The sequence below is a fragment of the Homo sapiens genome, chromosome 11 (genome assembly GCF_000001405.40).
Source record: "Homo sapiens chromosome 11, GRCh38.p14 Primary Assembly".
Lineage (NCBI taxonomy): Eukaryota > Metazoa > Chordata > Mammalia > Primates > Hominidae > Homo > Homo sapiens.
The window spans coordinates 54,541,524-54,561,625 of record NC_000011.10 but is presented as its reverse complement, the minus strand read 5'-3'; the positions used below and the strand labels follow the sequence as shown (position 1 = coordinate 54,561,625).

Here is a 20,102-nt window from a genome sequence, read left to right as displayed (position 1 = left end):
TCAACAATGATAGACTGGATTAAGAAAATGTGGCACATATACACTATGGAATACTATGCAGCCTTAAAAACGTATGAGTTCCTGTCCTTTGTAGGGACACAGATGAAGCTGGAAACCATCATTCTCAATAAACTATTGCGAGGACAAAGAAACAAACACTGCATGTTGTCATTCATAGGTGGGAATTGAACAATGAGAACACATGGACACAGGAGGGGGAACATCACACACTGGGGCCTGTTGTGGGGTGAGGGGAGGGGAGAGCGATAGCATTAGGAGATATACCTAATGTTAAATGATGAGTTAATGGGTGCAGCACACCAACATGGCACATGTATACATATGTAACTCAGCTGCACATTGTGCACAAGTACCCTAAAACTGAAAGTATAATAAAAATAAATAAATAAATAAATGTAAAGAAAAAGAAAAGGAAAGGACCCTAAAAGCAACAAGAGAAAAGAATCAAATAACATAACAATGGAGCTCCAATATGCCTTGCAGTGGACTTTTCAATGGAAACCTTACAGGCCAGAAGAGAGTGGCATAACATATTTAAAGTGCTGATGGAAAAAATCCTTCTACCATAGAATAGGATATCTAGCAAAAATATCCTTCAAGCATGAAGGAGAAATACAAACTTTTCCAGACAAACAGAAGCTGAGGGATTTCATGAAGAGCAGACCTGTCCAACAAGAAATTCTAAAGGGAGTAAGTACTTCAGTCAGAAAGAAAAGAATGTTAATGAGCAATAAGTAATCATCTGAAGGTACAAAACTCACTGGTCATAGAAAGTACACAGAAAACACAGAATATTATAACTGTGGTATATAAACTAGTCTTATCCTAAGTAGAAAAACTTAACAATGAGCCAATCAAAAATAATAACTGCAACAACTTTTCAGGACATAAACAGTACAATAAGATATAAATAGTAGAAGCAACAAAAAGTTAAAAAGCAGAGGGACAAAGTTAAGATGTGGAGTTCTTGTTTTCTTTTTGCTTGTTTGTTTGTACAAACAGTGTTAAGTTGTTATCAGCCTAAAATAATCGGTTATAAGATAGCATTTGCAAGCCTCATGGTAACCTCAGACCAAGAAACATACAATGGGCCCATAAAAAATAAAAAGCAAGAAACTAATCATATCACCAGAGAAAATTATTTTCACTAATGAAGAATAGGAAGGAAAGAAAGCACTGACACAGGAGCTAGAAAGAAATTATTTAGGCATATAGTGAGAATAAGAGAGTCCTTGGTAAGGTTTCCCTGTTCATAAAAAGCAGCCCCAAAATCATTTCTTTTCTAACAAAGAACAGCCTGAAAAATCAAGATGCAGACATAGAAAAGCAAGCTGGAAGTTTGCATGGGTGAATGCTGGCAGCTGTGCCAATAGTAAAAGTCTACCTGGGGGCCAGGCATGGTCAACATGGAGGCTCCATCTTCCCTTTTCTTTGTCAACCACATGTGCAGTAAAGAAGCAGGCAACATGGCACTGACCAGGTAGAGAAACCTTTTGTATAATAAAAGATTAGAGGAGGCAGCCAGCTTTTTCACATACCAATCTTTTGGGCCTTATGTAAATCAGACACTGCCTCCTCAACCTCATCTATAAAAGCCCATGCAATTCACCACAGAACTGGAGGACCCACTCAGGAGTCCCTCTGTCTCTGCAGAAGAGAGAGCTTTTCTCTCACCTATTAAACCTCTGCATTTAGACTCACTTCTTGTGTGTCCACACCCTCAATTTCCTTGGAGTGAGACAATGAATGTAGGGTATTTACCAGAGACAAGCAATGCTGGTTCATTTTGGGGCCCCATGTGGGATGCAGGTATAATCATCAGAAGGGTGAGTATAGGAATGGACCATAACTCTGTCCTTGCATTTTGAGGCTCTCGGCCTCCATTTTAATATAAAATCAAACCAAATACTGGGCCCTTGTCAGCCATTTAAAAATGGTTAGATTGGCTGCCAGCCTTACAAGACCAGGGGACAAGCTTGCTGGGGATATCATGAAGAATCCCCCAGTACCCTCAGGTTCCTGGGGATATTGGCTATGTTTCAAACCAGTTTCCCTTCCTGGAGGACCCAGTCATCGTATGGGGCTTAAAGAGATCCTGGAGCAACAAAGAATTTCTGGCCAGGACTACACCCTGGTGTTATCTGAAGGCTTCTGGACCAACTCCAGCCTTCAACTGCCCAACCAACCATCAGCAATAGGATCTCCAGCTTTTCTATCACAAATTTCCTCCTTGCCTTTCTGCAATTGCCATGTCTCCTATCATCTCTATATATGCAATGCTCTGGAAATTTTTACAGTTCAGTGAAGTAGTCCTGTTAGGAATGGTCAGCAAATGCCATAGTAACTGGGAATATAGCTTAAGAGAACGCTGTTTTTGTGATTTTCTAGGAAGAGAGGATCTTCCCCCATCCCCTACAGTGAGCATCTCTCTCTGCGCTTGGTCTGGAGAGCACATGCTCAACAGCACCACCTACAGGAATAGGAATCCTCTCCATGAGGTACATTGTTGGCCCTTTTCCAAAACACTTTAACTTCCCAATTTTCCTCCCTTTTTGTGCCCCTCTACTAGAGACCAAGCTTTATGCCTTTTCTGTGAAAGGGAAAATCTCTGCCTTCAACAGTGATGAGGAAAATGTCCTCTGAAAACAAATTTTAGTCTCGATAGTGTCCCATCAGCTGGAAAACCACCATTTGGTCCCTACATTCTTTTAAGGCACCTACTCTGTCTCCAATTAAAATGGTACTTACATAGTAAGGAGACTTAAGAGTAAATGCTTTGGCATGGGCCATAATAACAGGATATAGAGTTCAATGTAATGCACCCACTCCATTAAAGGGGTCTTGCCCAAATGCAACCATTACATAGTCTTTTTCAAGATCTCTCTTTCTGGGAGCCACACAGGTCATGTCAGTCTAAGAAGTCAATGGGAAATCATAAACGGAAGACTAGAGTTGCATGGGTAAGTGTGAGTAATCCCAATTGCTTAGTTCCGCCATTTCTATGGCTGGGGTTCATGCCTGCGACCATGGACAATATGTTTAACAATGTGCTGGAGTCCCAGGAACCAAGGAGGGAAAAGAATAGGGGGTAAACTCCTGCTCTCTTCCCCTCCACCTTGGGTCACAACAAAAGGAAGGAGGTTACAGGGATGCCTTTTTTCTGGCTTCTCTTTCTAGATGGGTAACAAACCATCTTCAACCTGTACTCCTCTGAATTGCATTCTGAAGCACTAGGATTCCTTTGACCTTGAGACTTTGGGGAAAAAAGCAGCTAATTTTCTTTTGCACAAGGGCATGGCCTTGTTACTAGACCTTTGCAAGCACTGCACAATCGACTCAGCTCTTTTAGCAGTCATATCAGGTGGGCCCAGTGGGAATGATTCCACAAAACTAAAGAAACAGACCCCCCAGGAAACCCTTAAATGCAACTTCCAGATGCCCCAGCCATTCCTGTTCCCCCTATTTACATCAACAGCTATTTCAGTTCCACCACACAAACTCCAGACTTTTCTGTGGTATTTTTCCTTCCTCCTGACATGGTTTAAAATGGCTTCTATCTCTTCTTTTATAATGTTCCTCCAAACTTCGAAAAGTTAATTTCTCCAAACGTTAAAATGCTGGGCTCAAGGGAAGGGAACCCAGAAACATGACAGGCCAGCAAAAGGGTAAAAGTTGTTTTTTTTTTTTTTCACCAGTCAGGATTTTGGCTTCTCTCTCCCTGTACAAAATAGTAAAAGGAATAATAAGTTTCATTATGTATATTTTCTGTGAAGTTTTAATTCATGAAAAACGATTTATGAGGTTGGTCTTAAGCTGTAGCCAATCCAGTGTTCTTTGTGAGTCTTTCTGTGTGGCTTTGTCAAGAGAAAGCATATCTCAGACTAGGATGCAGGCCTGGGACCCTATAAGCCTGCTGTTTGAGCCAGTCCCAACAAAATGGTCAGTAACAAACTTTGCTGCCTCTTGTTTAATGTCTTTGGGAATGTGACCTGTAACCACGTGACAATACTACATTTTAGTCACCACCATTTTACAATGGTGGTCCAGGTTAAATTCTGGCTTGGGAAGTGAATACTTTAATTTTACCATTTGCTGATTCTCTTACCCCTTCATGAACAACTTCTATCTGCCTTTCTTAAATCTTCCTCTAAGTTGCCTTTAAATGTTCTAGATTTTGTAATAGTGCAACTGCTCAATGGGTTCAACTTGCGTGCTGCCCAGGCAGAGGTGATTTATCAAAACAGGGTAATTATAGTCAGGTCAGCAGTGTGGGAGATGGGAGTTTTGTCATTGCTCAGGTGGGTCTCCCTCAGCATTTGGGGAGCAGAGTTTTTGGGGACAGCTTGGTAGCAGGGGGGAGCCAATGAGACAGGAATGCTGACACGTAGAGTCAGAAATGAAATCATAGGGAGTCAAAGTTGTCTTCTTGTGCTAAATTAGTTCCTGGATGGGGGCCACAAAATTAGATAAGCCAGTTCATCAATCTTGGTGATGCCAGCTGATCCAACAATGGCAGGGTTTGCAAAATATCTTGAGCACTCATCTTGGGAGCAGTTTAGAAAGGGTCAAAATCTTGTATCCTCCAGCTGCATGACTCCTAAGCCATGGTTTCTAATCTTGTGCCTAGTTTCTTCGTCTGGTCCCTAGGCAAAAAGGGAGGTTCATTTTGAGAAAGGGCTATTATTGACTTTGTTTTAAACTATAAACTGTAAACCAAGCTCTTCCTAGAGTTGGTTCCATGTACGCCTAGGGATGGGCAAGGACAGCTTGGGGGCTGGAGACAACATAGAGTTGGTTGGGTTGGATCTCTTTCACTGTCTCAGTCACAACTTTGCAAAAACACTTTCAAAACCTGTTTACCCCTCCTTTGAAAATATCTTGTATACTCATGGTTAAGTCATAACCTAAGTAAGGCTTTTGATTTCACCTGTGAGGCAACTTTTGGTAAAGTTCAAAAGCCAAAAATCTTAACTGCTTGGTGTGGCTAAAGTTGAGTAACAAGGGATTTAAAGGGATTTTCTTAGGAGCACGCAGCTTAATTAAAAGTGGATATCCAAGTTATAGGCATATTTAAAAGGCCTTTATGTTTTTCTGTTCTTGGATCTTGTTTTTCTGAAAAATGTTTTTTCTCAGTCAACTAAATTCCTTTTCTCCATTTTGTTTTGCCACTCTCAATGTATGCATTACTTAATGCACACATGAGAGGCCCCAAGATAACTTCTGATACTGTGAGACTTCTTGGGAAAACAGAAAATGTACCACAAGTCTCATTTTGGGAGAAATCTCTGTTTTTCCTCATGGAACTCCAGGAATTAGTGGCGGATAGATCCCTCTCAAAAATGTGTTTTTGTCTTCCTTAAAAACCGCATGCTCTCCTAGCCCCACTCTTAAAGGGCCTCACCCAGAGACCAATAATCCAACTGAAGATAAATCTTATAACAACTGAGTCTTTTTCTGTTTGTCTGTGTAGTTATGTGTGTTATGTGTAACGTCTATAAAAAGAGCTCCAATTGATTGGCTTAAAGAAAAATAAGCACTTAAATCAAATAATTTTTAAAGGAAAGATGAAAGCTGTAATGTTTTTTAGCTCAAGTGACTTTAACTTTTAAAAAATAAAAAAGCCTTAAGGATTATTGGTAAAATACAGGTGGCATCCAATACAGGCAAATAGGTGGTCTAAATCATATAAGTCAGATACAAGGTTTGCTAAATATTTCCATGCAAACTCCTGCTTTACAACTTCATAAGGCCTGGGGAAATGCAAAATTATCCATGTCCCTAACTATGCTGGAAAAATTCAAACTTAATCTGTGCCTACTACATAATCAAAACAACTTACCAGGTTTCACATTAAAGTTAAAAATTGCTAAAAGTCAGCATTATAACATGTAATTAAAATAGACTTACATGCAAGGTGTGTAAAAACAGTAAAATATGTTTTTAGTAGAAGACTATAAGAAGGCATAGAAGTGTACATTTTGCTAGGGATAAAGGATTGTCTTAAATTAGATATGATAAAGCTGAAGGTTTAAGCAAGTATTGGAAAGATTATAAAAATTAATCTTGCAAAAATATCATCTGTAAACATTAACTAATTTCAAAACGGTATTATATGTTCTTTTCATAAATTGAGCACTGAAATAAAAGCACAACAAGGGTGTCTTAAAACACTGGTCTGCCCTTTAGCAAAAGGGTTATAAAAAGTTTGTAAAAATTAATGGTCAAATTGGTTAAGATTAGATGGAATTGCCAATGATTTTTCATTTAAAAATTGGGTTCATATTAATAAACTAATACAAGGGTAAAATTTGGCTTTGAACAGGATTTTCATATAATAGTAAACGTTAATAAAAGATTTTTGTCTTTTTTCATCATTATGGCAAAATAAATGACTTATGGTAACCTGGAATTCTATTTCATAACATCAAGTGTTTTAAATCTCTAACATATATAAGAGGCTTCCGAAAATCAAACCTCAGTTTCAACGTTGTCTTTCCTGACCTCTAGCTTCTGGATGCCACAGAGGGCCAATGAAGCATTTGAAAGAAAGGTAAACAGGCTTATTTGACATGTTTAGGCATGTGAGTTTCCACAACGATGTTTAACATTCTTCAAGTTATATTTTAGTGAATAATATTAATATATGCTCCACAATTGTGTGGGATTTATAAAATTCTATTGTCTCAGTATGTGCTATTAATTATAACAAAGGTTGTTAAGTCATTGTACACCACTAAGATAACTAAACTTCTCTGTCACTCATGTTTTTAATTTTTTTCTTTATCTTTTTTATTTTATTATATTTTTTATTATTATACTTTAAGTTTTAGGGTACATGTGCACAATGTGCAGGTTAGTTACATATGTATACATGTGACATGCTGGTGCGCTGCACCCACTAACTCGTCATCTAGCATTAGGTATATCTCCCAATGCTATCCCTCCCCCCTCCCCTCACCCCACAACAGTCCCCAGAGTGTGATGTTCCCCTTCCTGTGTCCATGAGTTCTCATTGTTCAATTCCCACCTCTGAGTGAGAACATGTGGTGTTTGGTTTTTTGTCCTTGTGATAGTTTACTGAGAATGATGATTTCCAATTTCATCCACGTCCCTGCAAAGGATATGAACTCATCATTTTTTATGGCTGCATAGTATTCCATGGTGTATATGTGCCACATTTTCTTAATCCAGTCTATCAGTGATGGACGTTTGGGTTGGTTCCAAGTCTTTGCTATAGTGAATAGTGCCGCAATAAACATAGGTGTGCATGTGTCTTTATGGCAGCATGATTTATAGTCCTTTGGGTATATACCCAGTAATGGGATGGCTGGGTCAAATGGTATTTCTAGTTCTAGATCCCTGAGGAATTGCCACACTGACTTCCACAATGGTTGAACTAGTTTACAGTCCCACCAACAGTGTAAAAGTGTTCCTATTTCTCCACATCCTCTCCAGCACCTGTGGTTTCCTGACTTTTTAATGATTGCCATTCTAACTGGTGTGAGATGGTATCTCATTGTGGTTTTGATTTGCATTTCTCTGATGGCCAGTGATGATGAGCATTTTTTCATGTGCTTTTTGGCTGTATAAATGTCTTCTTTTGAGAAGTGTCTGTTCATGTCCTTCACCCACTTTTTGATGGGGTTGTTTGTTTTTTTCTTGTGAATTTGTTTGAATTCATTGTAGACTCTGGATATTAGCCCTTCATCAGATGAGTAGGTTGCAAAAATTTTCTCTCATTTTGTGGGTGGCCTGTTCACTCTGATGATAGTTTCTTTTGCTGTGCAGAAACTCTTTAGTTTAATTAGATCCCATTTGTCAATTTTGGTTTTTGTTGCCATTGCTTTTGGTGTCTTACACATGAGGTCCTTGCCCGTGCCTATGTCCTGAATGGTAATGCCTAGGTTTTCTTCTGGGGTTTTGATGGTTTTAGGTCTAACGTTTAAGTCTTTAATCCATCTTGTATTGATTTTTGCGTAAGGGGTAAGGAAGGGATCCAGTTTCAGCTTTCTCCATATGGCTAGCCAGTTTTCCAGCACCATTTATTAAATAGGGAATCTTTTCCCCATTGCTTGTTTTTCTCATGTTTGTCAAAGATCAGATAGTTGTAGATATGCAGCATTATTTCTGAGGGCTTTGTTCTGTTCCATTGATCTATATCTCTGTTTTGGTACCAGTACCATTCTGTTTTGGTTACTGTAGCCTTGTAGTATAGTTTGAAGTCAGGTAGTGTGATGCCTCCAGCTTTGTTCTTTTGGCTTAGGATTGACTTGGTGATGTGGGCTCTTTTTTGGTTCCATATGAACTTTAAAGTAGTTTTTTCCAATTCTGTGAAGAAAGGCATTGGTAGCTTGATGGGGATGGCATTGAATCTGTAAATTACCTTGGGCAGTATGGCCATTTTCACATATTGATTCTTCCTACCCATGAGCATGGAATGTTCTTCCATTTGTTTGAATCCTCTTTTATTTCATTGAGCAGTGGTTTGTAGTTCTCCTTGAACAGGTCCTTCACATCTCTTCTAAGTTGGATTCCTAGGTATTTTATTCTCTTTGAAGCAATTGTGAATGGGAGTTCACTCATGATTTGGCTCTCTGTTTGTCTGTTGTTGGTGTATAAGAATGCTTGTGATTTTTGTACATTGATTTTGTATCCTGAGACTTTGCTGAAGTTGCTTATCAGCTTAAGGAGATTTTGGGCTGAGACAACGGGGTTTTCTAGATATACAATCATGTCATCTGCAAACAGGGACAATTTCTCTTCCTCTTTTTCTAATTGAATACCGTTTATCTCCTTCTCCTGCCTAATTGCCCTGGCCAGAACTTCCAACACTATGTTGAATAGGAGTGGTGAGAGAGGGCATCCCTGTCTTGTGCCAGTTCTCAAAGGGAATGCTTCCAGTTTTGCCCATTCAGTATGATATTGGCTGTGGGTTTTAGCTCTTATTATTTTGAGATACGTCCCATCAATACCTAATTTATTGAGAGTTTTTAGCCTGAAGTGTTGCTGAATTTTGTCAAAGGCCTTTTCTGCATCTATTGAGATAATCATGTGGTTTTTGTCTTTGGCTCTGTTTATATCATGGATTACATTTATTGATTTGCATATATTGAACCAGCCTTGCATCACAGGGATGAAGCCCACTTGATCATGGTGGATAAGCTTTTTGATGTGCTGCTGGATTGGGTTTACCAGTATTTTATTGAGGATTTTTGCATCGATGTTCATGAAGGATATTGGTATAAAATTCACTTTTTTGTTGTGTCTCTGGAGGGCTTTGGTATCAGAATGATGCTGGCCTCTTAAAATGAGTTAGGGAGGATTCTCTCTTTTTCTATTGCTTGGAATAGTTTCAGAAGGAATGGTACCAGTTCCTCCTTGTACCTCTGGTAGAATTCGGCTGTGAATCCTTCTGGTCCTGGACCTTTTTTGGTTGGTAAGCAATTGATTATTGCCACAATTTTAGCTCCTGTTATTGGTCTATTCAGAGATTCAACTTATTCCTGGTTTAGTCTTCGGAGAGTGTATGTGTCAAGGAATTTATCCATTTCTTCTAGATTTTTCTAGAAAATTTTCTGAGAATGCTTCTGTCTAGGTTTGATGTGAAGATATACCCGCTTCGAACGAAGGACACAAAGTGGTCCAAATATCCACTTGCAGATTCTACTAAAAGAGTGTTTCAAACCTGAACTATCAAAGGAAGGTTCAACACTGTGAGTTGAATCCAAACTTCACAAAGAAGTTTCGGAGAATGCTTCCATTTAGTTATGGGAAGTTTATCCCTTTTCCAATGAAATCCTCACAGAGATCCAAATATCCACTTGCAGATTCTACAAAAAGTGTGTTTGCAAACTGCTCCATCAAAACGAATGTTCAGCTCTCTGAGTTAAACTCAATCGTCACAAAGAATTTTCTGAGAGTGCTACTGTCTAGTTTTTATATGAAGTTCTTTCCATTACTACCATAGGCCTCAAAGTCGTACAAATCTTCACTTGCAGATTCTACAGAAAGAGTGTTTCCAAACTGCTCTTTCAAAAGGAATGTTCAACTCTGTGAGTTGAATGCAATCATCACAGAGTAGTTTCTGAGAACGCTTCTAGGTAGTTTTCATGAGAAGATATTTCCTTTTCCAACAGAGTCCCCAAAGCCCTGCAAATGTCCACTTGCAGATTCTAGAAAAAGAGTGTTTAAAAGCTGCTCTATCAAAGTGAAAGTTCAACTCTGTGAGGTGAATGCAAACATCACAAAGAAGTTTTTGAGAATGCTTCTGTTTAGCTTTTATGTGAAGATGATCCAGATTCCAATGAAATCCTCAAAGAGGTCCAAATATCCACTTGCGGATCCCACAGAAAGAGTGTTTAGAAACTGCTGTTTCAAAAGGAATCTTCAACTCTGAGTTGAATGCAATAATCACAAAGAAGTTTCTGACAATGCTTCTCTCTAGTTTTTATGTGAAGATATTTTCTTTTCCACCACAGGCCTGAAAGCGCTCCAAATGTCCACTTGCAGATTGTACTAAAAGAATGTTTCAAAACTGCTCTATGAAAAGCAATGTTAAACTCTGTGACTCGAACACAAACATCACGAAGAAGTTTCTGAGAATGCTTCAGTTTAGTTTTTCTCTGAATATACTCCTGTTTCTAAAGAAATCTTCAAAGAGGTCCACATATCCTTTTACAGATTCTACAAAAAGAGAGTTTCAAAACTGCTCAATCAAAAGGAGGGTTCAATTCTGTGACTTGAATGCAATCATCACACAGAAGTTTCTGAGAATGCTTCTCTTGAGTTTTTACGTGAAGTTATACCCGTTTCGAATGAAGGCCACACAGTGATCCAAATATCCACTTGCAGATTCTACAAAAAGAGTGTTTCAAACCTGAACTATCAAAGAAAAGTTCAACACTGTGAGTTGAATGCAAACATCACAAAGAAGTTTCTGAGAATTCTTCCGTTTATTTATGTGAAGATTATCCCATTTGCAACAATTTCCTCAGAGACCTCCAAATATCCACTTGCAGATTCTACAAAAAGTGTGTTTCAAAACTGCTCCATCAAAAGGAATGTTCAGCTTTGTGAGTTAAACTCAGTCTTCACCAAGAATTTTGTGAGAGTGCTACTGTCATAGTTTTTATATGAAGTTATATCCTTTTCTACCACAGGCCTCACAGCAGTCCAAATCTCCATTTCCAGATTATACAAAAAGAGTGTTTCCAAACTGCTCTATCAAAAGGAATGTTCAACTCAGTGAGTTGAATGCAATCATCACAAAGTAGTTTCTGAGAATGCTTCCATCTAGTTTTTATGAGAAGATATTTCCTTTTCCACCACAGTACTCAAAGCCCTCCAATTGTCCAACTGCAGACTCTAGAAAAAGAGTTTTTCAAAGTCACTCTATCAAAGGGAAAGTTCAGCTCTGTGAGGTGAATGCAAACATCACAAAGAAGTTTCTGAGAATGCTTCAGTTTAGCTTTTATGTGAAGATTATCCCGTTTCCAATGAAATCTTCAAAGAGGTGCAAATATCCACTTGCGGATTCCACAGAAAGAGTGTTTCGAAACTGCTGTTTCAAAAGGAATCTTCAACTCTGTGAGTTGAATGCAATCATCACAAAGAAATTTCTGACAATGCTTCTCTCGTTTTTATGTGAAGATATTTCCTTTTCCACCACAGGCCTGAAAGTGCTCCAAATGTCGACTTGCAGATTCAACGAAAAGAATGTTTCAAAACTGCTCTATGATAAGCAATGTTATACTCTGTGACTTTAACACAAACATCACAATGAAGTTTCTGAGAATGCTTCTGTTTAGTTTTTATGTGAAGATATTCCTGTTTCCAAGGACATCTTCAAAGAGGTGCACATATCCACTTGCAGATTCTATAAAAAGGGAATTTCCAAACTGCTCAATCAAAATGAGTGTTCAACTCTGTGAGTTGAATGCAATCATCACAGAGAAGTTTCTAAGAATGCTTCTGTCTAGTTTTTATGTGAAGATATACCCATTTCGAATGAAGGCCACAAAGTGGTCCAAATATCCACTTGCAGATTCTACAAATAGAGTGTTTCAAACCTGAACTATCAAAGGAAGTTTCATCTCTGTGAGTTGAATGCAAACATCACAAAGAAGTTTCTGAGAATGCTTCCGTTTAGTTATGTGAAGTTTATCCAGTTTCCCATGAAATCCTCAGAGAGGTCCAAATATCCACTTGCACGTTTTAAAAAAAGTGTGCTTTGAAACTGCTCCATCAAAAGGAATGTTCAGCTCTGTGAGTTAAACTCAATCATCACAAAGAATTTTCTGAGAATGCTTCTGTCTAGTTTTTATATGAAGTTATTTCCTTTACTACCATAGGCTTCAAGGCGGTCCAAATCTCCACTTTCAGATTCTACAAAAAGAGTGTTTCCAAAGTCCTCTATCAATAGGAATGTTCAACTCTGTGAGGTGAATGCAGTCATCACAAAGTAGTTTCTGAGAATGCTTCTATCTAGTTTTTATGTGAAGATATTTCCTTTTCCACCACTGGCCTCAAAGCCCTCCAAATGTGTACTTGCAGATTCTAGAAAAAGAGTGTTTCATAGCTGCTCTTTCCACAGGAAAGTTCAACTCTGGAAGTTGAATACAGGCATCACAAAGAAGTTTCTGAGAATGTTCTGTTTAGTTTTTATGTGAAAATATTCCCGTCTCCGAAGAAATCTTCAAGGAGGACAACATATCCACTTGCAGATTCTACAAAAAGGGAGTTTCAAAACTGCTCTATCAAAAGGAGTGTTCAACTCTTTGAGTTGAATGCAGTCGTCACAGAGAAGTTTTGAAGATGCTTATGACTAGTTTTCATGTGAAGATATTTCCTTTTCCACTGCAGGCCTCACAGCGCTGCAAATGTCTCCTTGTAGATTCTACAAAAAGAGAGAGTTTCAAAAGTGCTCAATCAAAAGAAAGATTCAGCTTTCTGAGTTGAATCCACACATCTCAAAGAAGTTTCTGAGTTTGCTTCTGTCTAGTTCTTATATGAAGATATTTCCATTACTAGCATAAGCCTCAAAGCGCTGTCAATGTCCAGTTGCAGATTATACAAAAATAGTGTTTCAAGACTGCTCTATAAGTAGGAAGTTTCAACTCTCAGAGCTGAAGCAGACCTCACAAGGAAGTTTCTGAGAATGCTTCTGTCTAGTTATTATGTGAAGTTATAACCGTTTCAAATGAAGGCCAGAAAGTGGTCTAAATATCCACTTACAGATTCTATTAAAAGAGTATTTCAAACCTGATCTAACAAAGGAAGGTTCAACTCTGTGAGTTGAATGCAAACATCACAAAGCATATACAGAGAATGTTTCTGTTTTGTTATGTGAAGTTTATCCCGTTTCCAGCGACATCCTGAGAGAAGTTCAAATATCCACTTGCAGATTCTAAAAAAAGTGTGTTTGGAAACTGCTCCAACAAAACGAATGTTCAGCTCTGTGAGTTAAACTCAATTGTCACAAAGAATTTTCTGAGACTGCTACTGTCTAGTTTTTATATGAACTTATTTCCTTTACTACCATAGGCCACTAAGCGGTCCAAATCTGCACTTGGAAATTCTACAAAAGAGTGTTTCCAAACTGCTCTATCAAAAGGAATGTTCAACTCTGTGAGTTGAATGCAATCATCACAAAGTAGTTTCTGAGAATCCTTCTATCTAGTTTTTATGAGAAGATATTTCCTTTTCCACCACAGTCCTCAAAGCCCTCCAAATATCCACTTGCAGATCCTACAAAAAGAGTGTTTCAAAGCTGCTCTATCAAAGGAAAAGTTCAGCTCGGTGAGGTGAATGCAAACATCACAAAGAAGGTTCTGAGAATTCTTCTGTTTAGCTTTTATGTGAAGATTATCCCGTTTCCAACAAAATCTTCAAAGAGGTCCAAACATCCTCTTCTGGATTCCACAGAAAGTGTGTTTTGAAACTGCTGTTTCAAAAGGAATCTTCAACTCTGTGAGTTGAATGCAATCATCACAAAGTAGTTTCTGACAATGCTTCTGTCTAGTTTTTATGTGAAGATATTTCCTTTTCCATCACAGGCCTGAAAGCACTCCAAATGTCCACTTGCACATTCTATGAAAAGAATGTTTCAAAACTGCTCTATGAAAAGCGATGTTAAACCCTGTGACTTGTACACAAACATCACAAAGAAGTTTCTGAGAATGTTACTGTTTAGTTTTTATGTGAAGACATTGCTGTTTCCAAAGAAATCTTCAAAGAGGTCCACTTATCCACTTGCAGATTCTATAGAAAGGGAGTTTCAAAACTGCTCAATCAAAAGGAGTGTTCAAATCTGTGAGTTGAATGCAATCATGACAGTGATGTTTCTGAGAATGCTTCTGTCTAGTTTTCATGTGAAGATATACCCGTTTCGAATGAAGGCCACAAAGTCGTCCAAATATCCACTTGCAGATTCTACAAAAAGAGTGTTGCAAACATGAACTATGAAAGCAAGGTTCAACTCTGTGAGTTGAATGCAAACATGACAAAGAAGTTTCTGAGAATGCTTCTGTTTAGTTATGTGAATTTTATCTAATTTCCAATGAAATCCTCCCAAGAGATCCAAATATCCACTTGCAGATTCTACAAAAAGACTGTTTTGAAACTGCTCCATCAAAAGAATGTTCAGCTCTGTGAGTTAAACTCAACCATCAAAAAGGATTTTCTGAGAATGCTTCTGTTTAGTTTTTATATGAAGTTATTTCCTTTACTCCCATAGGCCTCAATGCGGTCCAAATCTCCACTTGCAGATTCTACAAAAAGAGGGTTTCCAAACTGCTCTTTCAGTATGAACGTTGAACTCTGTGAGTTGAATGCAATCACCACAAAATGGTTTCTGAGAATGCTTCTATCTAGTTTTTATGTGAAGATATTTCCTTTTCCACCACAGGCCTCAAAGCCCTCCAAATGTCCACTTGCAGATTCTTGAAAAATTGTGTTTCACAGCTGCTGTTTCAAAAGGAAAGTTCAACTCCAGAATTTGAATACAAACAACAGAAATCAGTCTCTGAGAATGCTTCTGTTTAGTTTTTCTGTGAAGATGATCCAGTTTCCAAGGAAATCTTCAAAGAGATCCGCATATCCACTTGCAGATTCCACAGAAAGAGAGTTTCAAAACTACTGTACCACAAGGAGTGTTCAACTGTGTGAGTTGAACGTAGTCATCACAGAAAAGTTTCTGAGAATGCTTCTGTGTAGTTTTAATGTGAAGATATACACGTTTGGAATGAAGGCCACAAATTGGTCCAAATATCCACTTGCAGATTCTACGAAAAGAGTGTTTCAAACCTGAACTATTAAAGGAAGTTCCAACTCCGTGAGTTGAATGCAAACATCACAAAGAATTTTCTGAGAATGCTTCTGTTTATTTATGTGATATTTATCCCGTTTCCAACGAAATCCTCAGAGAGGTAAAAATGTCCACTTGCAGATTTTACAAAAAGTGTGTTTTGAAACTGCTCCATCCAAAGGAATGTTCAGCTCTGTGAGTTAAACTCAATCATCACAAAAATTTTCTGAGAATGCTTCTGTCTAGTTTTTATATGAAGTTATTTCGTTTAGTACCGTAGGCTGCAAAGCAGTCCAAATTTCCACTTGCAGATTCTTCAAAAAGAGTGTTTCAAAACTGATATATCAAAAGGAGTGTTCAACTTGTGAGATGAATGCAATCATCACAGAGAAGCTTCTGAGAATGCTTCTGTCTAGTTTTTATGTGAGGATATACCCGTTTCGAACGAAGGCCACAAAGTGGTCCAAATATCCACTTACAGATTCTACAAAAACAGTGTTTCAATCCTGAACTATCAAAGGAAATTTCAACTCTGTGTGTTGAATGCAAACTTCACAAAGATGTTTCTGAGAATGCTTCTGTTTAATTACGTCAATTTTATCCCTTTTACAATGGAATCCTCAAAGTGGTCCAAATACCCACTTGCAGATTATGCCAAACGTGTGATTTGAAACTGCTCCATCAAAAGGAATGCTCAGCTCTATGAGTTTCTGAGAATGCTTTTGTCAGGTTTTTACATGAAGTTATTTCCTATACTATCATATGCCTCAAAGCAGTCCAAATCTCCACTTGCAGATTCTACAAAAAGAGTGTTTAAAAACTGCTCTATCAACAGGAGTGTTCAACTCTGTGAGTTGAATGCAATCATCACAGAGAAGTTTCTGAGAATGCTTCTGTCTAGTTTTTTGTGAAGATATTTCCTTTTCCACCACAGGCCTCGCAGTGCTCCAAATGTCTACTTGCAGATTATACAAAAAGAGAGTTTCAAAACTGTTCTATCAAAAGAAAGTTTCAACTTTCTGAGTTGAATACGCACATCACAAAGTAGTTTCTGAGAATGCTTCTGTCTAGTTTTTATATGAAGATATTTCCTTTGCTAGCATAGGCCTCAAAGTGCTGCCAATGTCCAGTTGCAGATTCTACAAAAAGAGTGTTTAAAGACTGCTCTATCAATAGGAAGTTTCAAATCTCTGATGTGAATGCAGACATCACAAGGAAGTTTCTGATTTTTCTTCTGTCTAGTTTTTATGTGAAGGTATAGCCGTTTTGAACGAAGGCCACACAGTGGTCCAAATATCCACTTGCAGATTCTACAAAAAGAGTGTTTCAAACCTGAACTATCAAAGGAAGTTTCAACTCTGTGAGTTGAATGCAAACATCACAAATAAGTTTCTGAGAATGCTTCTGTTTAGTTCTGTGAAATATATCCCATTTCCAAAGAAATCCTCAAAGAGGTCCACATATCCAAATGCAGATCCTACAGAAAGTTTGTTTCGAAACTGCTCCATCAAAAGTAATGTTCAGCTCTGTGAGGTGAGCTCAATCATCACAAAGAAGTTTCTGGGAATGCATCTGCCTAGTTTTCATATGAAGTTATTTCCTTTACTACCATAGGCCTCAAATCGGTCCAAATATCCACTTGCAGATTCTACAAAACGAGTGTTTCAAAACTCTCTGTCAAAAGGAATGTTCAACTCTGTGAGTTCAATGCAATCATCACAAAGTAGTTTCTGAGAATGCTTCCATCTAGTTTTCATGTATAGATATTTCCTTTTCCACCACTGGCCACAAAGCCCTCCAAATGTCCACTTGCAGATTCTAGAAAAAGCGTGTTTCAAAACTACTCTATCAAAAGGAATGTTCAACACTGTGAGTTGAATGGAAACATCACAAGAAGTTTCTGAGAGTGCTTCTGTTTAATTTTTAGGTGAAGATATTCCGTTTCCAATGAAATCCTCAAAGAGGTGCAAATATCCACTTGCAAATTCTACAGAAAGAGTATTTCCAAACATCTGTTACAATAGGAATCTTCAACACTGTGAGTTGAATGCAATCATCACAAAGAAATTTCTGAGAATGCTTCTATCTAATTTTTATGGGAATATATTTCCTTTTCCACCACAGGCCTCAAAGTGCTCCAAATGTCCAATTGCAGATTCTAAGAAAAGAATGTTTCAAAACTGCTCTATGAAAAGCTGTGTTAAACTCTGTGAGTTGAATACAAACTTCACAAAGAAGTTTCTGAGAGTGCTTCTGTTTAGTTTTTATGTGAAGGTATTCCCTTTTCCATAGAAATCTTCAAAGAGGTCCAAATATACACTTGAAGATTCTGCAGAATAGTGTTTCAAACTGCTCTTCTTAAAGGAATGTTCAGCTCTATGAGTCAAATGCAATCATCTCAACGTAGTTTCTGAGAATGCTTCTCTCTAATTCTTATGTCAAGATTTTTCCTTTTCCACCACAGGCCTCAAAGCTCTCCAAATGTCCCCTAGCAGATACTACAAAAGAAAGTTTCAAAAATGCTCTATGGAAAGCAATGTTAAACTCTGTGAGCTGAACACAAACATCACAAAGTTGTTTCTGAGAATGCTTTTGTTTAGTACTTAAGTGAAGATACAACCGTTTCCTATGAAATCTTCAAAGAGGTCCAAATATCCAGTTGTAGATTCTACAAAAAGAGAGTTTCAAAACTGCTCTATCAATAGGAATGTTCAACTCTGTGAGTCGAATGCAATCATCACAGAGTAGTTTCTGTGAACGCTTCTGTCTAGTTTTTATATGAAGATATTTCCTTTTCCACCACAGGCCTCACAGCGCTCCAAATGTCTACTTGCAGATTCCACAAAAAGAGAGTTTCAAATCTGCTCTATCAAAGGAAATGTTCAACTTTCTGAGTTGAATGCACACATCACAATGAAGTTTCTGAGAATGCTTCTGTCTAGTTTTTATATGAAGATATTTACTAGCATCGACCTCAAAGCATGCCAATGTGCAATTGCAGAATATACAAAAAGAGTGTTTCAAGACTGCTATAACAAAAGGAACTTCCAACTCTCTGAGTTGAATGCAGAAATCACAAGGAAGTTTCTGAGAATGCTTCTGTCTAGTTTCTTTGTGAAGATATACCCGTTTCAAACGAAGGCCAAAAAGTGGTCCAAATATCCCCTTGCAGACTCTACGAAGAGACTGTTTCCAACCTGCACTGTCAAATTAAGTTTCAACTCTGTTCATTGAATGCAAACATCACAAATAATTTTCTGAGAATGCTTCTGTTTAGTTATGTGAAGCTTATCCCATTTCCAACGAAATCCTCAAAGAAGTCCAAATATCCACTTGCAGATTGTACAAAAAGTGTGTTTTGAAACTGCTCCATAAAAAGGAATATTCAGCTCTGTGTGTTGAACTCAATCATCACAAAGAAGTTTCAGAGAATGCTTCTGTCTAGTTTTTATATGAAGTTATTTCCTTTACTACCGTAGTCCTCAAAACAGTCCAAATGTCCACTTGCAGATTCTACAAAAAAAGTGTTAGAAAACTGCTCTATCAAAAGGAATGTTCAACTCTGTGGGTTGAATGCAATCATCACAAAGTGGTTTCTGATAATTCTTCTATCTAGTTGTTATATGAAGATATTTGCTTTTCCACCAGAGGCCTCAAAGCCCTCCAAATGTCCACTTGCAGATTCTCGAAAAAGAGTGTTTCAAAACTGCTCAATCAAAAGGAATGTTCAACCCTCAGAGTCGAATACAAACAACACTAAGCAGTTTCTGAGAATGCTTTTGTTTAGTTTTTATGTGAAGATTATCCCGTTTCCAACGAAATCTTCAAAGAGGTCCAAATATCCCCTTGCAGATTCTACAAAAAGAGTGTTTCAAAACTGTTGTTCCAAAGGGAATGTTCAACTCTGTGAGTTGAATGCAATCATCAGAGAGAATTTTCTGAGAATTATTCTGTCTAGTTTTTATGTGAGGATATTTCCTTTTCCACCACAGGCCTCAAAGCCCTCCAAATGTCCACTTGCAGACTCTAGAAAAAGAGTGTTTCAAAACTGCTCCATCAAAAGGAATGTTCAACTCTGTGAGTTGAATGCAAACATCAGATAGAAATTTCCGAGAATGCTTCTGTTTAGATTTTATGTGAAGACAATCCCGCTTCCAACGAAATCTTCAAAGACGTCCAAATATCCCCTTGCAGATTCTACAAAAACAGTGTTTCAAAACTGTTGTTCCAAACGGAATGTTCAACTCTGTGAGTTGAATGCAATCATCAGAGAGAATTTTCTGAGAATTCTTCTATCTTCTTTTTATGTGAAGATATTTCCTTTACCACCACTGGCCACACAGCACTCTTAATGTCTTCTTGCAGATTCTACAAAAAGAGTGTTTGTTTGAAACGTGAACTATCAAAGGAAGTTTCAACTCTGTGAGTTGAATGCAAACATCACAAAGAATTTTCTGAGAATGTTTCCGTTTAGTAATTTGAAGTCTATGCGTGTTCCAACGAAATACTCAAAGAGGTCCAAATATCCACTTACAGATTCTACAAAAGTGTGTTTCAAAACTATCTCATCAAGAGGAATGTTCAACTCTGTGAGTTGAATTCACCAAACACAAAGAAGTTTCTGAGAATGCATCTGTCTAGTTTTTGTATGAAGATATTTCCTTTACTACCATAGGCCTCAAATTTTTCCAAATATCCACTTGCAGATTCTATAAGCAGAGTGTTTCAAAACTGCTCTGTCAAAAGGAACCTTCAACTCTGTGAGTTGAATGCAATC

The 20,102-nt window shown here is 37.9% G+C and overlaps 5 annotated features.

Moving 5' to 3' along the window:
* Positions 10,579-11,196: an enhancer, noted in NCBI's record as "OCT4-NANOG-H3K27ac hESC enhancer chr11:51568233-51568850 (GRCh37/hg19 assembly coordinates)". NCBI's record gives its function as "activates a minimal SCP1, AML or CMV promoter by ChIP-STARR-seq in naive H9 embryonic stem cells {active_cell/tissue: H9 hESC(naive)}" and the evidence as "EXISTENCE:reporter gene assay evidence [ECO:0000049][PMID:30033119]".
* Positions 11,816-12,338: an enhancer, noted in NCBI's record as "OCT4-NANOG-H3K27ac-H3K4me1 hESC enhancer chr11:51569470-51569992 (GRCh37/hg19 assembly coordinates)". NCBI's record gives its function as "activates a minimal SCP1, AML or CMV promoter by ChIP-STARR-seq in primed H9 embryonic stem cells {active_cell/tissue: H9 hESC(primed)}" and the evidence as "EXISTENCE:reporter gene assay evidence [ECO:0000049][PMID:30033119]".
* Positions 14,206-14,727: an enhancer, noted in NCBI's record as "OCT4-NANOG-H3K27ac-H3K4me1 hESC enhancer chr11:51571860-51572381 (GRCh37/hg19 assembly coordinates)". NCBI's record gives its function as "activates a minimal SCP1, AML or CMV promoter by ChIP-STARR-seq in naive H9 embryonic stem cells {active_cell/tissue: H9 hESC(naive)}" and the evidence as "EXISTENCE:reporter gene assay evidence [ECO:0000049][PMID:30033119]".
* Positions 15,771-16,292: an enhancer, noted in NCBI's record as "OCT4-NANOG-H3K27ac hESC enhancer chr11:51573425-51573946 (GRCh37/hg19 assembly coordinates)". NCBI's record gives its function as "activates a minimal SCP1, AML or CMV promoter by ChIP-STARR-seq in naive and primed H9 embryonic stem cells {active_cell/tissue: H9 hESC(naive and primed)}" and the evidence as "EXISTENCE:reporter gene assay evidence [ECO:0000049][PMID:30033119]".
* Positions 16,293-16,814: an enhancer, noted in NCBI's record as "OCT4-NANOG-H3K27ac hESC enhancer chr11:51573947-51574468 (GRCh37/hg19 assembly coordinates)". NCBI's record gives its function as "activates a minimal SCP1, AML or CMV promoter by ChIP-STARR-seq in naive and primed H9 embryonic stem cells {active_cell/tissue: H9 hESC(naive and primed)}" and the evidence as "EXISTENCE:reporter gene assay evidence [ECO:0000049][PMID:30033119]".